The sequence below is a fragment of the Homo sapiens genome, chromosome 9 (genome assembly GCF_000001405.40).
Source record: "Homo sapiens chromosome 9, GRCh38.p14 Primary Assembly".
Classification (NCBI taxonomy): Eukaryota; Metazoa; Chordata; class Mammalia; order Primates; family Hominidae; genus Homo; species Homo sapiens.
Genome location: NC_000009.12, coordinates 126,778,420 through 126,798,292, shown reverse-complemented (window position 1 = coordinate 126,798,292; position 19,873 = coordinate 126,778,420). Strand labels below are relative to the sequence as shown.

At 47.9% G+C, this 19,873-nt stretch overlaps 2 annotated features.

Annotated features, from left to right (window-relative positions):
- Window positions 5,785-5,954: an enhancer, noted in NCBI's record as "experimental_106710 CRE fragment used in MPRA reporter constructs". NCBI's record gives its function as "activates a minimal promoter by MPRAs in K562 erythroleukemia cells, with activity observed for both the introgressed and non-introgressed 9:129554703 variant alleles {active_cell/tissue: K562}" and the evidence as "EXISTENCE:reporter gene assay evidence [ECO:0000049][PMID:34662402]".
- Window positions 18,571-18,740: an enhancer, noted in NCBI's record as "experimental_106693 CRE fragment used in MPRA reporter constructs". NCBI's record gives its function as "activates a minimal promoter by MPRAs in K562 erythroleukemia cells, with activity observed for both the introgressed and non-introgressed 9:129541917 variant alleles {active_cell/tissue: K562}" and the evidence as "EXISTENCE:reporter gene assay evidence [ECO:0000049][PMID:34662402]".

The following is a 19,873-nucleotide window of genomic DNA, read 5'->3' as shown; positions in this document are numbered from 1 at the left end:
GTTGCAGTGAGCCAAAATCACGCCATGGCCCTCCAGCCTGGGCCACAGAGCAAGACTGTCTCGGGGGAAAAAAGAGAAAGAAAGAAAAATAAGTAACAGGTTAAAAAAGAGATCCTAATGAAAATTTTGAAATATTTATAATTGAATGATTATAAAAACACTACCTTCCAAATCTGTGTTGTCAGCAAAAAAAGTTTTAAGAGGGAAATTTATATCCAACAATTATGATAAAAGAAGAAAGGTCTAAGTTAATGAGTTAATCACTTGAAAGGTTAGAAAAATGAAACAAAGTAAACTCAAGGAAAGTGAAAGGAAAGACACAGGAAAGGAAAAGATAAGTTTGTATATTAATTAGAAAACAGATACAATAAGGAAGACCAATAAAGCCCAAAGTTAAGTTTTTGAATTGACTAATAAAACTGACAGATCAGGGGCCGGGCGCGGTGGCTCACGCCTGTAATCCCAGCACTTTGGGAGGCCGAGGCAGGCAGATCACGAGGTCAGGAGATCGAGACCATCCTAGCTAACACGGTGAAACCCCGTCTCTACTAAAACTACAAAAAAATTAGCCGGGCATGGTGGCGGGCGCCTGTAGTCCCAGCTATTACGGAGGCTGAGGCAGGAGAATGGCGTGAATCCAGGAGGCGGAGCTTGCAGTGAGCCCGGATGATGCCACTGCACTCCAGCCTGGGCGACAGAGGGAGACTCCGTCTCAAAAACAAAGAAACAAACAAACAACAACAAAAAAAACCTGACAGATCTCAGGCAAGATCGATAAGATACATATAATATAGAGAAAGATTTAGAGATATCTTTGAGATATATATATCATAGATCATAGAGAGTATCTCTCAAAGATATCTCTGTAAATCTCTCCGTATGTATTATCTATCTAGAGAAGAGAGAATAAACAGACCTCCTATTTAAGCCACGTTTTGAGGATTTTCTTTTGTTTGCAGCCAGATATGTTTCCAACTGATAAACCAATCCGTTTGAGAGCATACTGCAGAGGCAAGAGGCAAGTGTAGAGTTAGCTATTGTTAAATAATAACTGCAAACTTAGTGGATTAAAACGATAATAATTTGTCCTTCCTCTGCTTTAAACTGCATCTCTGGCGGAGCTTGGCTTTTCTCTCTGCAGGTTGGGGGCCAAGTCTGCTCCACATGTATTCATTTAGGCAGGTCCAGGCTAAAGGGACAGCAGCTACCCAGGAAAAGCTTACCTCGTGATGATGTCAAAGGGGCTAAAGAGAAGGCCCTACCCTGCAAGCACATTTTAAGCCTTCGTGGATGTCTTATTTGCTAATATTCTATTGGCCAATGCAAGTCACATGATAGCCCAAAGTCAAGGGCAGGAAGTGCACTTCACCTTTAGAGGGAGAAACTAAAAAGTCATGTGAAAGCATGCATGTACACAGGGAGGGGTGAAGGATTGGGAACAATAAACCAATTGACCAGAGTCGCCATCTTACAATTGTTCAAATTCCTCCTGCATGCAAAGCACATTCACCTCAATCCCAAGACCTTCCGAAATCTTATCCGGACTTAAAATCCTCATAAGGATCAAAGTTCAGAGTCTTGTGATCTACGTCGGATCTGGATGTGGCTCCTCTTCATTCTAAAACATCTACGAACTAGAAAGATAAGTTGTCTGCCTTCTCAGCCTCACACAGTGATAGAATAGGAATGAGATAACTGCAATAAACACTCTCATTTGAAAATAGTTAAGAATGGGAGGCACATAGTAGTCAGTCACTGGTCAATAGCAATTCCAAAATCCCAGTGGACAAATATTGCCAGGTATCACTATGCTGAGATGAAGGCCCTTGATTTCTCCTTGAGAGTAGCTCCTCAGTCAGTTCTCTACAGCTGTTGGTTCTACCCTTTTGGAAATCCTTCCTTTTGCAACAACTCCCTTGCTTAATTCTGAAGCATGTCTTGAAGATAGCATTGAAAAATATGCGCTTTTTTTTTGGTGGCTGATCAGCTTTCTCAGGTTGCTACATTCCCAGAGAGGGTTGGGGAGATCTCGGCTGGGCGCGGTGGCTCATGCCTGTAATCCCAGCACTTTGGGAGGTCAAGGCGGGTGGATCACGAGGTCAGGAGTTCGAGACCAGCCTGGCTAATATGGTGACACCCGTTTCTACTAAAAATACAAAAATTAGCCGGGCATGATGGTGTGCACCTGTAGTCCCAGTTACTCAGGAGGCTGAGGCAAAAAAATCGCTTAAATCTGGGAGGTGGAGGTTGTGGTGAGCTGAGATTGCACCACTGCACTCCAGCCTGGGTGACAGAGTGAGACTCCCTCTCAAAAAAAAAAAATAAAAAAAGAAGAAAGTTGGGGAGATCTCTGCCCTCTTTCCATCCAGACTGGTGGCACTTTTGCCAGTACATAGCCCTCAAAGACATTGTAGATTTTCTATGTATTTGATTCCAGTCAACTTCATATGACAAAGGTATACTTATAGTTTTTCTCAACATGTGCCTCTTTCTATAGACTCAATGTACTTACTGGCACTTTAGGGGTATTAAAATTTTGTGGGACCATACCCTTAATACCTTTTAATCTTTCTAGAAGCCTTTTTTGTCAGCTGAAAGGATCCACGCCCTTGATTTAATTTTTGTCCCTAAATCGTATTTTGATATAAGAATCTTGGTTTTTTTTGTTTGTTTGTTTTTGTTTTTTTTTTTTTTTAGTAGAGATGGGGTTTCACTGTGTTAGCCAGGATGGTCTCGATCTCCTGACCTCGTGATCCACCTGCCTCAGCCTCCCAAAGTGCTGGGATTACAGGCGTGAGCCACCGCACCCGGCCTTGATATAAGAATCTTCTACTGTCTGGAGAGGTTGGACATTATTTTTATTTTTCCAACCTAGCAATTTCTGGACTCCATATTCTCCCTAATTATTGCTTGTGAAATTGGCCATTTCTTTTCTGAGCACATCTCTTTCTTATAGTAGTGTCTTTTCAAATTTATCTAACACCAAGAAAGTCCTACTTTTTTTTTTTTTTTTTTTTTTTTGAGACAGAGTCTCTCTCTGTTGCCCAGGCTGGAGTGCAGTGGCATGATCTTGGCTCACTGCAACGTCTGTCTCCCGGGTTCAAGCAATTCTCCTGCGTCAGCCTCCTGAGTAGCTGGGACCACAGGCCGTGCCACCACACCTGGCCAATTTTTATATTTTTAGTAGAGATGGGGTTTCACCATGTTGGCCAGGCTGGTCTCGAACTCCCGACCTCAGGTGATCCACCTGCCTCGTCCTCCCAAAGTGCTGGGATTACAGGCTTGAGCCACCATGGCCCGCCAAGAAAGTCCTACTTTTGACGTTTTGCCTCTAAATGTCTTCTCCCAACTCTAAAACTTCATTAGATACATTTTTCTCATTCAAATCTTCATACACAGGAGTTTTACTAAATGTTTCCCACTACTTAACACAGGCTGCCTTTTCCTGTTTCCTATAAGTTTTCTCACCACTTTCCAGCCCCCCGTAAATATTTCCTTGTTGCTTATTGCCTGGTCCCAAACCCAATGCCTCATATTTGAAGTTTTTATTATGGCAGGCTCCCAGTTTCAGCGCCGATGACTGTGTCCGCCTGCTGTTATTACAAAACAATCCACCGCAAGGCTCAGTGGCTTACAACAGTAATTACCTATTCTCATTTGTGTGTCTGCAGATCAGTTAAGGGCTGGCTGGTTTAAGCTGGGCTCAACTGGGCAGCTCTGCTTCAGGCTGTGGGACCAGCTGGACACCCCAGGAGTTGTGGGGAGCTACTGGAAGAGACACCCTTTTGTTGGATGGTGTGGGAGGATGCGAGGTCAGGAACCATTGCAGCCATTTTATTTCTGTAAGGAGAGAGCCTGGAATTGCAAGAGCCTGTGTGAGGGGGCTGGAAATGAAGTTGACAGCAAGAAAGATATAAAACACAGGTAGGGAAAAGTCAGTGTCTTGGTGAGAATCTGGATCCAGCTTCACCTCACCAGACCCAGGTGAACCAACACATTCCCTTCATTGCTCATCAGTTTGCAATTTTGTTTTTGTTTTTGTTTCTTTACAATCAAGACACTCTTAACTGACACACAGGCTGTGAGGTGGTTGCTCGGGGGAGTGGTTGGAGGAGTCACCCACTCTTTCTTCCAGGGTTCTGGCTTTTGGGACATGTGTGCACATGTCTGGGTAGACATTCTAAGCTGCACAGAACAGAAATGGAGTCTGGCTGATTACAGTAGAAAAAGAATTCACTAAAAGGATCTGATCCCCAAGAGGGCTGGAAAATCGAGCTCTGTGACTATGCAGCCAAGCCGCACCCACAATCAGGCCACAGAACTGGGGTGGCCAGAACACTGCTGCCACCACCATGGCCACCACTTTTGCCAGTGCGGTTGCTGCTGCCAACTGGATCCCCCGTCCCCTCCAGTCTGCACTGCGCTGCCCCTGCTACTTTGGAAGCAGATCTTGCTGCCACCACTGCCCTCATGTGCCACTAGCTGCCGAGTCAGAGTCCTCTGGTTGGCTGAGGCTGGCCAGCGTCTGCTCCCTGGCTGCAAGGGAGGCTGAGGAAGCAACAAACTGGCCCTTTGGGCTTCTACAGTGGGGCGTAGTTTCCGCCTCTCTCCAAGTTTTGGAGAATGGGGAATTCCTCAAACACAGGATGGGGTGTCATGCTAGGGAGTCTCAATACAGGGCATAAGGGATTGAGATCAAATAGAGACAATGGCTTCAGCTTTATTCCTGGTAGATCTAAATTGGAGAATGCAACTGGAACCTGGGGCCAAAATCTTCCCTCCCCGCTCCCAGAACTGAACTTCTTTTCTCTTTTCTTTTCTTTTTTCGTTTTTTGAGACAGAGTCTTACTCTCTCACCCAGGCTGGAGTGCAATGGCACAGTCATGGCTCACTGTAGCCTTGACCTCCCGGGCTCAGGTGATCCTCCCACCTCAGCCCCTTTAGTAGCTAGGTGTGCCATCACCTGCCCAGCTAATCTTTTGTAGAAACAAAAATACAAACACGGGGTTTCCCTGTGTGGCCCAGACTGGTCTCAAACTCCTGCACTCAAGTGATCCATCCACCCTGGCCTCCCAAAGTGCTGAGATTGGGAGTGCTCACAGGCGTGAGCCACCATGCCCAGCCTCCAGAACAGAATTTCTCTCCTGGCTGTAGGAGAGCCCTCTTCCTGGAGCAGGGATGCTCTGCCTTGCTGAGATACTGCTTGACATCGGGAACAGAAACAAGGGACAAGCTGTTGATGAGGGCAGGTCCAGGGGAGGCCAGTGTCTGAGCTGTCACCTGTCCTCTGCCTCCCCACACAGAGGGGCGGAGGGGTAGGATCCTCTAATGCTATTTCCGTTTGAAGATGGAAAGTTCCATCCATTTCCCAAAGAGGAAACAGCACAAAAACATGGTGTGGTGGGGTGAGAGGGGGCATGAAGGGGTCAAGGGGAGGCAAGCTTTCCCAAGAGGTAAAGTCGGTGATGCAAATGAGAACAGTAGACATTTGCACATTAACTGTATAAGGATGCATATTCTTTTTTTTTTTCAAGACGGAGTCTTGCTTTGTTGCCCAGGCTGGAGTACAGTGGCGTGATCTCAGCTCACTGCAACCTCCACCTCCCAGGTTCAGGCGATTCTTCTGCCTCAGCCTCCCGAGTAGCTGGGACTACAGGTGTGTGCCACCATGCCCAGCTAATTTTTTGTATTTTTAGTAGAGATGGGGTTTCACTATGTTAGCCAGGAATTTCTCAATCTCCTGACCTCGTGATCTGCCTGCCTTGGCCTCCCAAAGTGCTGGGATTATACGTGTGAGTCACCATGCCCGGCCAGAATGCATATTCTTAACATCTACACAAAGCTATGCACTCTCATTTGTCCTTAGATATTGGCTCCTCTATGTGTATTTTTTTGTCCTGCCATTTTTTTTTTTTTTGAGACAGCATCTTGCTCTGTTGTCCAGGCTGGAGTGTAGTGGTGCAATCTCAGCTCACTGCAACCTCCTCCTCCCAGGTTCAACTGATTCTCCTGCTTCAAGTCTCCCAATTAGGCTGCTTCACCATGCCTGGCTAATTTTTAATAGAGACAGGGTTTCACCATGTTGGCCAGGCTGGTCTCAATCTCTTGACCTCAAGTGATCCACCCACCTTGGCCTCCCAAAGTGCTGGGATTACAGGTCTGAGCCACCACGCCTGGCCATCCTGCCACTTCTGAAGGACATGTGACAGGCTGGCTGTCTTCCATTTGGCTCTTCCCACAGATCCTCTCTGCCTCCCCACCCCAAGTCTGTGTTTGGGGGGCTGATTCATATGGACTCTTCTGTCTGCTAGCTTCCAGCTGGTGTGGCCCCTGGGATCCCCAGGGGAGACTGGAGGGAAGGAGGAGTACATTTAAAAAATCATTTTCCGGGCTCCCTTCCTGTGGAGTCCCCGTGGGCTGGCCACAGCCCTTGACCCAGCCTCAGCTCCGTCAGTAAATCTCTCCAGGTCCCCTGTCTGCACCGCTTCAAATTTAGGGTGGCAACAGTCCCCAGTGTTCCTAGCCCCAGGGTACTAAATCATTCCTTCCCTGTTGCTTTTCTTAATCCCTGTTTATACCTTTGTAAATAATCTCATTGCTAAACTCTCCTCAATTACTCAACTTGAGTGTGTCATCTGTTTCCTGCTGGTACTGGAATGATACCTATGGAGTCTGGAAATACTTCTCCACCCAGAGAAAAAACAACAGCTCACATGCACCAGCAAATAGGACTTCAGTGCGTCTCAGATTCCTGAGGCGGTAGGGAAGGGTAGAGAGTGTGACAAACCGAAAGCACATGACCACTCATACATACTCCAGCCTTTTGTTGCCATGACAATGACAGCCCAGTGTTGCCCGTTGTTCTCATTTTTCAAGAGTAGTAAAACATCAAGATTTTTAAAGTAGTACCTCCTGATTTTGTTTTTCTTTTCTTTTTGAGACAGGGTCTCACTCTGTTGTCCAGACAGGAGAACAGTGGCACAATCTTGGCTCACCGCAACCTCCGCCTCCTAGGATCAAGCAATTTGCCTGCCTCAGCCTCCCGAGTAGCTGGGATTACAGGCGCGTGCCACCACACCCAGCCTGTACCTCCTGATTTTTAAATGTTGGCTCAGGCCAGGCACAGTGGCTCATGCCTATAATTCCAGCACTTTTGGAGGCCGAGGTGGGCGGATCACCTGAGGTCAGGAGTTTGAGTCCAGCCTGGCCAACATGGTGAAACCCCATTTCTACTAAAAATACAAAAAGTAGCCAGGCATGGTGGCACATGCTTGTAATCCCAGCTACTTGGAAGGCTGAGGCAGGAGAATCGCTTGAACCCGGGAGGCAGAGATTGCAGTGAGCTGAGATTGCACCACTGCACTAAAAAAAAAAAAAAAAAAAAGCTTGGCTCAAATTTTTTGAAATCTTGGTGTGAGCCAGGCAAACAATCAGGTGGCTGAACTTGGCCCTGGATCACCTTTTCAGTCTCTGTCCTCAGTGTACAGTGTCCTGCCAAGCCCCAAACCCTCCATGGTGCAGAGAGCCTATGGGAAGGACCATAGTGACAGGCCATTAGTAAGACCCTCAGGACCTAGTGGTGGGAGTGGAGAGGCCTGGCCATGCCACCTCCTCCACAGATGCTCCACGGTGGAGCCGCAAGCTCCAATTCCTGCAATGCTGTTCCGCAGCCTGCAGCCTTGCTGTGCTTGCCTGGTCCATCATGTCTAATACGGGTGTCAGCAGAAAGTAAATTAAATCCACTAGGCTGTAATTTGCAAACAAAACATTTTGTGGCAGTAACTCAACAGAGCATTATGTTTTAATCGGGTTTTAAAAATGTTTTAAAAATCATTTTATTGTGCAGAAGCTGGTATCCTAAGAGCTATAACTCCTTAACTAACAGTATGCTAATGCAATACCCTCTAGTCTAGAGGTTCTTGCCAGCTGGGGCATTTATCTTGATGCTCTTAAACCTATGTACTTTCAGAGTCAAAGCACTACACTGCCTTCCCACCACTTGAATAGGGAACCCCAGTACCACCTTCTGCTGCATTTTCTCCTGGCTTTGAAAGAGAAACAAATTTATTCATCTTTTTATTGTATTTATTCATTTGTGTGTTTGTGTATGTATGTATGTATGCATGCATATATGTATTTCTTTGTTTAATGAACACTTGTGTACTGCTATCTATGTCTTTTGCAAATATTAGCCCAGTGAATTCTCTTACAATCCATCAAGGGAGGTGCTATTCTTAGCTCTATTTTTACAGATCAACAAATTAAGGCACAGAGAGGTGAAGTAACTCACTGAAGGTCACACAGCTGGTAAGTGATGGGGATGAGGGTCTGGCTCTTGAATCCACACTCCGAGCTACCTCACTGTACTGTCTCATCTTTCTGCCTCTAGCCCGGTTCCTGAAGCCCCCAGCCCACCCATCTTCCTGCCCTCTCTCCTGCCACTCCTCTCTCATCCTCCAGACATTCACTCATTCCTTTGTTTTATAGATGTCAAGTGTCTGCTGTGTACCAGCCCCTAGGCTAAATGCTGGGAACCCCATATTGAGCTGTTCTGACATGGTTCTTGACAGATGGAGCCCACAGTCTAGGAAGGGAAACAGCCTGGTGCCCAGGTACCTCCATCCCCTGAAACAAAAGGACTACGGTCAGCCCCAGGACCTCCTATGAGCACCTGTGTTAGAAAAATATGCCGCAAGTGGGCCGGGCGCGGTGGCTCACGCCTGTAATCCCAGCACTTTGGGAGGCTGAGGTGGGCGGATCACAAGGTCAGGAGATCGAGACCATCCTGGCTAACACGGTGAAACCCCGTCTCTACTAAAAATACAAAAAATTAGCCGGGCGTGGTGGCGGGCGGCTGTACTCCCAGCTACTCAGGAGACTGAGTCAGGAGAATGGCGTGAACCTGGAAGGCGGAGCTTGCAGTGAGCCGAGATTGTGCCACTGCACTCCAGCCTGGGTGACAGAGCGAGACTCTGTCAAGAAAGAAAGAAAGAAAGAAAGAAAGAAGGAAAGAAAGGAAGAAGGGAGGGAGGGAGGGAGGGAGGGAGGAAGGAAGGAAAGAAAGAAAGAAAGAATTGCCCTAAGCGTTAGTCACTTTACTACCATTGGTGGAGAAATTCACGTTAAGGATGTGTGTGATGACTCTGATGACTAGGAGTGTGAACTGTGCTCTTGGAGTCGTGTACAACCTCCTCAACTGCATATCCTGGACCTCATAAAGTGGGCCAGGGAAGATCGGAGGAGGGGCCGGTCCAGGAATAGAGCAAGGGCCAGAGAGCTTTCCTGAGGGTAGCTGAGATTTGAAGAAGGAGTAGGAATGTGTGGGTGAAAACAGAAGTGGGGACCGGGCTCTGGGCAGGGAAATAGCATGTGAGAAGAACCCGGGTGGCTTGGTACTATGTCTGTTTAGCTAAGCTGGAACTTCATGTCCCAAGATGCCTTTCCCTGTGTGGTTGTGGGTCAGGTTTTGTTTCAAGAGAAATGTGTATGAGTCAGGAAGGTGGAGATCAAGCAGCAGCCTTGGTTTTGCTTAGTCAGGTGCTATTGCAGCTGACACATTTAGATGCAGGGCAACAGACAGAAAAACTGCTTACCCATCGACCACAATCTCAAGAAAAATCCTAATGATCTGCTCCTCTGAGCAAAGTGATCAATAGAAGGACTAGCACGGGATGAGGCTGGAGGGGTAGGCAGGGGCTAGACCATGAAAGGTCCTCGGGGTCAGTGGAGCCACTGAAGGTTTTATTTTTTTAAGATTGATACATTATTTCATATACCACAAGCTTCACCCTTTTAAAGTATACAATTCAGTGATTTTTAGCATGTTCATAAAGTTGTACAATCATCACCACTCTCTAATCCAGAACATTGTCATCATTCCAAAAGAAATCCTGCACCCAATCACTTCCCATTCTTCCCTCCCTCGAGCTGCTGGAAACCATGAATTTATTTTCTCTTCAGATTTGCCTGTTCTGGATATTTCATATAAATAGAAGCATTCAGTATGTGGCCTTTTGTGTCTGGCTTCTTTCACTTAGCATATTTCTAAGATTTATCCCTGTTGTCACATGTATCAGTACTTCCTTTTCAGAACTGAAGAATATCCCAGGCATTTGGATCATTTCCACATTTTGGCTACTATAAATAATGCTGCTATGAAAATTCATGTACGAATTTTTGTGTGGACATCATATGTTTTCAGAGCTCTTGGGCATATACCTAGATGTGAAATTCCTGGGTCATATGATAATAGTATGTTTAACTTTTTGAGGCACTGCCGAACTGCTTTCCATAGTGGCTATTCCAGTTTTCATTCTCACCAGCAATATATTAATACAAGATTTCTAATTTCTCCACATCCTCTCCAACACTTGTTACTGCCTGTCTTTTTTGTTATAGCCACCCTAGTGGGTGTAACGTATCTCATTGTGGTTTTGTTTTATTTTGTTTAATTAAACAATTGGTTTTTTTTTAGAATTGGGGTCTTGCTATGTTTCCCAGGCTGGTCTCAAACTCCTTGCCTTAAGCAATCCTCCCATCTCAGCCTCCCAAAGTGCTGGGTTTATAGGCATGAGCCATCCATCATGCCCCACCAATTGGTGGTTTTGATTTGCAGTTCTCTAGTAACTAATTACATTTTGCATCGTTTTATGAGTTTTTTGGCCATGTGTATATTTTCTTTGTAGAAATATCTATTCAGATCTTTTGAGCATTTAAAATTTAGTTGCATTTGTGTTTTTATTGTTGAATCATAAAATTTCTTTATATATTCTGGATACTAGACCCTTATCATATACATGATGTGCAGACATTTTCACTTTCTCAATACTGTCCTTTGAAGCACAAATTTAGAAGTTTTGATGAAGTCCAATTTATCCATTTTTCCTTTGGCTGGTTGTGCTTTGATGTTATGTATGAGAAACTGTTACCTAATCCAGAGTCACAAAGATTTACATCTACCTTTTTTCCTAAAAGTTGTATAGTTTTAGTCCTTACATTTAGATCTTCGATCAATTTTGAGTTAATTTTTGTTTACAGTGTGAGGTAGGGGTCCAACTTCATTCTTTTGCATGTGGATATACAGTTGTCCTGGCACCATTTGTTGAAAAGTCTAAACTTCCTTCCACTGAATCGTTGTGGTACCCCTGTTGAAAATCCATTTACCGTAAATGTGTGGGTTTATTTCTGGGCTCTCAATTCTATCCCATTGAACCATTATCTATCTTTATCCTAGTAACGGAAGGGTTTTAAACAGAGGAGTGGCACACCTACTTTGTATTTTAAGACTGAAGTGGGAGAGATCTGTAAGAAAGCTACAGCAGTTGTCCATGTGAAAGATGTTTAAGGCAGTGGCTGTGGAGACTTAGAGGAAAGGGCAGATTTGAAGGCCATTTAAGAGAAAGAACTAACCGGTCTTGCTGAATAGTGAATGTGGGAGTGAGGGGGCAGTTGTCCAGGGCAACTTTCTGATTTTTGGCATTGGTAACTGGGTCAACTATCATAGTGGCGCTATCACACACTCACTGCAGAGGAACATAGGATAAGAAGACCAGGTTCAGGGGAGGGGGCTGAGTTGAGTTTGGGACATGCTGAGTTTGAGGAGCTAGTGGAATATCCTAATGGCCATGCTCAGGAGGTGTTTTGGTGTGAGATTCCAGAGCAGACCAGGCTAGAACCAGAGATGTGGGGCTCATCTGCACATAGGTGGCTGGAGAGGCAGAGGACTGCAGGAATGTCAGAGAGGAGGGACCACAGGAACCCTGATTAAGAAAGAAAAAAGGGCCAGGTGCGGTGGCTCACTCCTATAATCCCAGAACTTTGGGAGGCCAAGGTGGGCAGATCACATGAGGTCAGGAGTTCGAGACCAGCCTGACCCACATGACGAAACCCCATCTCTACTAAAAATACAAAAATTAGCTGGGCATGGTGGCGGGCACCTGTAATCCCAGCTACTTGCGAGGCTGAGGCAGGAGAATCACTTGAACCCGGGAGGCGGAGGTTGCCATGAGCTGAGATTGCACCACTGCACTCCAGCCTGGGCAACAGAGCGAGACCCTGTCTCAAAAATAAAATAAAATAAAAAGAAAGAAAGAAGGGGGGCTTAGGATGAAGAAGAGGAGTCTCTTATTTCCCATTGGATCTCTAATTCATGATTTCAGGTGCTTCTAGGCCCTGGTGGCATTTCAAATTTTCAGTGGTCGAAACATCAAATTCTCACTTTAGGGCATTAGCCAATCCAAGTAGGTTTTGTTTCGTTTCGTTTCCCTTCCTTCCTTCCTTCCTTCCTTCCTTCCTTCCTTCCTTCCTTCCTTCCTTCCTTTCTTTCGACGGAATCTCGCTCTGTTGCCCAGGCTGGAGTGCAGAGGCACGATCTCAGCTCACTGCAAGCTCTGCCTCCCGGGTTCACGCCATTCTCCTGCCTCGGCCTCCCGAGTAGCTGGGACTACAGGTGCCCGCTACCACGCCCGGCTAATTTTTTGTATTTTTAGTAGAGACGGGGTTTCACCGTGTTAGCCAGGATGGTCTCAATCTCCTGACCTCGTGATCTGCCCTCCTCAGACTCCCAAAGTGCTGGGATTACAGGCGTGAGCCACTGTGTCCGGCCTTTTTTTTTTTTTTTTTTTTTTTTTCACAACTGAAACATTCTAACTGCTTTGGCTAGCCTACCTCCTGGTTCTCCACTTCACCCTGATGTGGCATCCAGTGAGGCCAGATTCTGGCATGACAGGGGAAGATGTAACTGAGCCACTTCTAAGGCCTAAGAGACAAGGAAGAAGGCTGGCAGGAAGCGGCCTGTGTCTGAACAGCCTTCTTGCAGAACTGCTGGCTTGGGGTCCTGGGATGGTCTAAGTGGTGAGGAGGGGACTTGCAGTGCAGGAGCCAGCATGACTCTCTCACTTTCCAATCCTCCCACTCTCTCCTATCTGAAGAAAGAGGGGAAGCTTCCTGGTTGGCATTCTATGCCCTCGATGGTCTGCTTCTACCCCCCTCTCCGGGCACTCCTCCCACCCCACTCCTTCACTTCCAGCCTCCACACCACAAGCCCCCCATCCCAATACCACAGACCCCTATCACACTGAACTTCTGTTTCCAGAAGGGGTGCTGTATTCATCCATTTTCACGCTGCTGACAAAGACATACCCGAGACTGGGAAGAAAACGAGGTTTAATTGGACTTACAGTTCCACATGGCTGGGGAGGCCTCAGGATCACTGTGGGAGGTGAAAGGCACTTCTTACATGGCAGCGGCAAGAGAAAATGAGGAAGAAGTAAAAGTGGCAAGCCCTGATAAACCCATCAGATCTCATGAGACCATCACTAGACTAGCATGGGAAAGACTGGCCCGCATGATTCAATTACCTCCCCCTGGGTCCCTCCCACAACACGTGGGAATTCTGGGAGGTACAACTCAAGTTGAGATTTGGGTGGGGACACAGCTGAACCATATCAGATGCTGTAAAACAGTAGGCCCTGGAACTGGCCTATTTGGGTTCAAATCCCAACCCCACATCCTATAATTTATATACCCTTGGGAAAATGACTCAATCGCTGAGCCTCAGTTTCGTCAGCTGTAAAATGGGGTCATCATACTGGCCTCAGAAGAATGTTGTGGAGACTCAATGAGAATGCAAAGAAGCCGTTAGCACAGTGCCCAGTGTCTAAAATGCGTTCTGTAAGCATCAGGAGGGGAGGGGGAAAAGTGGGCCGGGGACGGCGGAGCTGCCACGGTTCCAATAGCTCTCCAGTTCCTGGTTCCAGACCTTCCGGGAGGCCTGCAGGGAATGGGTGTTGCTGCATATGGCGGAGGTGGAGGTCCATTTCATGTTTTCCACATGGGTACTCAATTTCGTCCCAAAATTACTTACTGAAGACTCTCTCTGTCCCCTACTGCTCTGTGGACCACCTCTGTCATGGATTATGTGCCTGTGTGTTTGAGGGTCTGCTTCTGGGTTCTACCTTCCCCTCTATTAGTCTTTGTGTCTGTCCTTGTGCTGAAACCACACTGTTTTAATGACTAGAGCGTTGTGATAAGGATGGCCTGACCCCTCCTACCTGTTGCCCTTGAGAACCTCTCAGCTATTCTTAGCCAGTGTTCTAAAAAAAATGCATGCCAAGTCTCATCACTCCCAGCCTAGTCTCCTCTGATGGCTTATTAAAAGGAACTAATGCTGGGAATTTGGCAAGGCCTTAGGAAGGGCTGGAATAAGGCCCATGTTGCTACTGGGAGCCAGGCAGTATTCTTTCTCCTTGCCTAAGCAGTTTTTTTCTCCCTAACCTGCCCTCACTCTCAAGTCTTTTTTACATAGATTAACCTCTAGCTTGTTTATGTGAGATTCACCATTCACCCAGAATCCCCACAAGAGAAGGGCGGCCAGGAGCTGAATCAGCAAGCAAGACTCCTTCTCCTTTACCAGGACAAGGGTGTGGAAGGGGAAGGTGGCTTCTCAAACATCGATCATTTTCTCTCTGGACACCTGGCTGGGCACAGTGGCTCACACCTATAATCCCAGCACTTTGGGAGGCCGAGGAGGGCAGATCACTTGAGGTCAGGAGTTCCAGACCAGCCTGGCCAACATGGTGAAACCCCATTTCTACTAAAAATTAAAAAAAAAAAAATTAGCAGGCTGTGGTGGTGCACACCTGTAGCTACTCAGGAGGCTGAGGGCAGGAGAATTGCTTGAACCTGGGAGGCGGAGGTTGCAGTGAGCCGAGATCGTGCCACTGTACTCCAGCCTGGGCAACAAGAGCAAGACTCTGTCTCAAAACAAAAAACAAACAAACAAAAAACTGTGCGTCACTGGCCCTGATTCTTTAGTCCCCCTGCATGTGCACCCTTTGCCATGTAACTTCATGGTCTTTCCCACCAAAGGTGGAGAATGCTCCCACCCTTGACTGCTCTTGGCCAGTGAGATGTGGTGGGAGAAGTATGGGCCTCATTTTAGTGAACGTCACCTCCAGGTGTCCAGTTTTGCAGAAATGTGAGCCATGGATACTTCTTGGGCTCTATTTCCAGCTTCAATCTCCACATCCATCCACTATCTCCACTCCTGTCTCCTCTGCCCTAGTTCAGGCTCCCTCCCCCAACCCCATCCTCTCTCACCTGACTACAGCGGCTTCCAAATTGGGCTCCCTGACTCCAGCCTTCCCCCACCCTGCTCCCTACACTGCGATGCTTCACTGTGCAGCCCGAGGGTTATTTTAAAAACACAAATCCCAGCACTTTGGGAGGCCAAGGCGGACGGATCACGAGGTCAGGAGATGGAGACCATCCTGGTTAACACGGTGAAACCCCGTCTCTACTAAAAATACACAAAATTAGCTGGGCGTGGTGGCGGGCGCCTGTAGTCCCAGCTACTCGGGAGGCTGAGGCAGGAGAATGGCGTGAACCCGGAAGGCGGAGCTTGCAGTGAGCCAAGATTGCACCACTGCACTCCAGCCTATGCGACACAGTGAGACTCTGTCTCAAAAAACAAAACGAAACAAACCCCCAAAAAACCACAAATCTGCTCGTGTTCCTCCCTACCTCTCTTCTCTCCATGGTGCCCCATGCTCTAAAGCTATAGGTTCAAATCCAGTAGCCCCGGACCTTCTGCTGCAGTCTTATCTCAGGCCCTCCCCATTCTCACTCCTTTTCCCTCACACTGGCTTGCTTGCTTTCTCCTCTCTCCCTTGTTCTTTCTTTCTTTTTGTTTTGTTTTTTTTGAGATGGAGTCTTGCTCTGTCGCCCAGGCTGGAGTGCAGTGGTGTGATCTTGGCTCACTGCAACCTCCGCCTCCCAGGTTCAAGCAATTCTCCCGCCTCAGCCTCCCGAGTAGGTGGGATTACAGGTGCCTGCCACCACGGCCGGCTAATTTTTGTATTTTTAGTAGAAACAGGATTTCATCATGTTGGCCATGGTGGGGAGTGATCAAGGGAATCCTCTGGCTTTGGGGTTCTCTCACAGCCTGAGTGTTTTCATCTGTCAAATGAGCACGGCAGCAAGATCACAGCACCTGCAGTGATACAACAAATGTCAGTGATGTAGGCCAGTGCTTGGCACACAGTGAATGCAGGTGAGGGGGCCTCCGTGATTCCCAGGCCCCCATGAACCCCAGGCACACCCAGGTTATCATGCTGGGGTAGGTCCCCAGAGATCCGAGTCTGAGTCCTATTTCTCCCTAGACCCCGGGAGAATGACTGAGTGAACAATTAAAAATCTAAACTGTGTTTTTGGAATGTTTCTGGAAGCTCCAGGCCTGATTGTCCTGGAACCCCTCCTCTCTCTCCCTGCTCAGAACTCGAAATTGGTCTCTAGCTGGCCTCCGGGGGAGCGGCAGTTTAGCATACGGCCAGCAGATGGCGCTGAAAGCTAAGGGAAGACGCCCCCTCCCCTGGGGCTCCTCCCGTCCCCTCCCGTCCCCTCCCGTTTGCCAACTCCAGCTCCCAGGCTGCCCTTCCAGCAGGGGCGAGGCGCCCTCGGCCGTCTCCTGGGAACCCAGGCCCATTTTGGAGAAGCAGAAAGAAAGCCCAAAACCCTGCTGGGATTCCTGGTTGGGGCCTTACACCCCGGAGACCTCCCCGACCTCCGCTCCCTGGCCTCCCTCCCAGGAAATCACTTAATAAATAGGGCGCGAGGATCCCAAGTGAGAGGAGGTTTTCCTCGGAAGAGCCACTTCATCTGTGAACAAGGAACTATGAAACATCTAAGAGCAGTCTGTGACCTCCCCGTCCATCCTGTGTAAAATATGAAATAAGAGTTTTAATTACCAAGCTTGGAAGGCAGCCGACGTGTTTAATATTTAATGTCTCCGATGCTTGTGCCCCAGGCGTGCCAGCACTGACAGAATCGGGGTTTCCCTTGGGTTGGCTCTAAATGTGCTTGGAGAAGGGCCAGGCAGCCCCCTTCCCCATCACCTGGGAGCCTCTTGTAGCCCTGCCTGGACCCAGGCTCGCCCTGGTCCTCCCACTCCCTGAGGGACCCCTGCTAAGGGGGCCGGTCTCCCACCCTAAGACCAGGACCTGGAGCTCTATGAAGGCATCTAGTTCTCGACTCAGTCCAGCTCCTGGCAGGAGTGGAAGTCAATGAAGTCAGGCAGCGAGAACAAATAGAGGGGCCAGACCCATAGACCTGTTTTTCTGTTTGTTTGTTTGCTTTTTTTGTTTTTTTTTTTTTTTGAGACGGAGTCTCACCCTGTCACCTAGGCTGGAGTGCAATGGTGCAATTTCGGCTCACTGCAACCTCTGCCTCCCAGGTTCAAATGATTCTCCTGCCTCAGCCTCCTGAGTAGGTGGGATTACAGGCATCCGCCACCACACCTGGCTAATTTTTGTATTTTTAGTAGAGACTAAAAATGGTCAGGCTGGTCTTGAACTCCTGACCTCGTGATTCGCCCGCCTCGGCCTCCCAAAGTGCTGGGATTACAGGTGTGAGCCACCGCGCCCGGGCTTTTGTTTTTTGTTTTTGTTTTGTTTTGTTTTGTTTTGAGATGGAGTCTTGCTCTGTCACCCAGGCTGGAGTGCAGTGGTGCCCTCTTGGCTCACTGCAGCCCTGCCTCCCGGGTTCAAGCACTTCTCCTGCCTCAGCCTCCCGAATAGCTGGGATTACAGGTGAGCACCACCACGCCTGGCTAATCTTTGTATTTTTAGTAGAGATGGGGTTTCACCATGTTGGCCAGGCTGGTCTTGAACTCCTGACCTCAAGTGATCCGCCCACCTCGGCCTCCCGAAGTGCTAGGATTACAGGCATGAGCCACCGTGCCTGGCCCAAACCTGGGTTTGAATTCTGTTTTCCTGCAAGCTATCAGCCTCTCTGGGAATGACTTTTATTATCCATAAGGTGGAGAATGTATCTCCTATGTTATGGGTTGTTAATGGTAATAGATTGCCACTTTCGAGGCTTAGTATGTGCCTGGAGCCCTGCTAAGCTCTTCGCATTTACTGAGTGCTTGTCATTTACAACAGCTCTGCCAGGTGGCTAAGATGAGATTTGAACCCAAGATATTCTGACTCCAGAGCTTATGACTCTGAAAGCCTATATGCAAAAGCACCAGGGATTTGGAGCTTGAAGGGGACAGGGCCACCCAGTCTTAGGCCCTAGTTTGTCATATACTGTGGCCCCTCCTCCTGTCTCATAGACAACCAAGAAGATTGCAAACGGGGGCTCAGGACAGGAGCCCAAACCAAATCAACCACATTCCTGTTTTTTGTTGCACGTTTCGACTTCCTGAAGAGAGGTGGTGAGCAAGCAAACTGCATTTGATTTTTGTTTTTTTTGTGTGTGTGTTTGTTGTTGTTGTTGTTTGGAGACAGGGTCTCACTTTGTCACCCAGGCTGGAGTGCAGTGGCATGCTCTTGGCTCACTGCAGCCTCGACCTCACAGGGCTCAAGCAATCCTCCTGTGTCAGCCCTTCAAGCCAATCAGCTGGGATACAGGTGCGTGCCACTAGGCTCAGCTAAATGTTGTATTTTTTGTAGAGACAGGTTTTGCGATGTTGTCCAGGCTGATGCATTTGCTTTTTGATGAGTTGATTGGCACCTTCAGTGTGAGTGGAGTTTGAGGGGCCATCTTGGGACTAGCCATGCACCTTGGTTTGTCTTAGACCTATGCACCATCCCTTGTCCAGCTGGCTATAGCCAAGTTAGTGCCCGTGTCACCTCCCTAGCAGAGCACAGCACATGGATGTTATGATGGGCCATGAGGAGGTGCATCAGCAGTTGGAGCCACTTGTGTTAAAAGATAACCAAGGCTGGGGCGGTGGCTCACGCCTGTAATCCCAAGCACTTTGGGAGGCTGAGGCAGGTGGATCACGAGGTCAGGAGACCGAGACCATCCTGGCTAACACGGTGAAACTCCATCTCTACTAAAAATACAAAAAATTAGCCGAGCGTGGTGGCACGCGCCTGTAGTCCCAGCTACTTGGGAGGCTGAGACGGAGAATCTCTTGAACCTGGGAGGTGGAGGTTGCAGTGAGCTGAGATTGCGCCAGTGCACTTCAGCCTGGGCAACAGAGTGAGACTCCATCTCAAAAAAAAAAAAAAAAAAAAAAGACAACCGAGGCTGGGCACAGTGAACCACACCTGTAATCCCAGCACTTTGGGAGGCCGAGGCGGGCAGATCACAAGGTCAGGAGATCCAGACCAGCCTGGCCAACAGGGTGAAACCTCCCCCATCTCTACTAAAAAAGTATAAAAATTAGCCAGGCATGGTGGTACATGCCTGTAATCCCCGCTACTCGGGAGGTTGAGGCAGGAGAATTGCTTGAACCCAGGAGGTAGAGGTTGCAGTGAGCTGAGATCGAGCCACTGCACTCCAGTCTGGGCGACAGAGCAAGACTCTGTCTCAAAAATAAATAAATAAATAAAAAGAGAGAGAGGTGTTGAGAAGCTCATTTGATCCTCATCAGATAGGCTCATGCTGGTGAAGACAGGGGGATGCAGAAACTCTGGTCCTGGCAGGACAGTGAACTGGTGTGGCCACTGTTGAGAGTACGCAACCCATGCCCAGGCAATTCCACTTCCAGGCACAAGCCCCAGAGCAACTTGCACACAAGTAGACAAAGACACTTGCCTGAGGATATCCCTCCTGAAAGCATTTATTTGTACTGGCCAAGGGATGGAAACAACCGAAGTGTCCACTTGTAAAGGAATGGGTAGGTTACCGGTAACATAGCCGAGTAATGAAACCCCATGCCGCAGCTCCATGGAATAAGTGAGAATGATGTGCTTTAGCTCTGGAAGATGGTAAAAATGTAATGCCAAACGAAAAGTCCTGCAAATACTACTTATGAATGCTGCAATCTATGATTTCATGGACACACACACACTGATGACAGAAGAATGTTTGCCTGTGGGAGAGGGGAGAGAGACAGGAGTGGGTGGGAGAAAGTGGGTGAAAG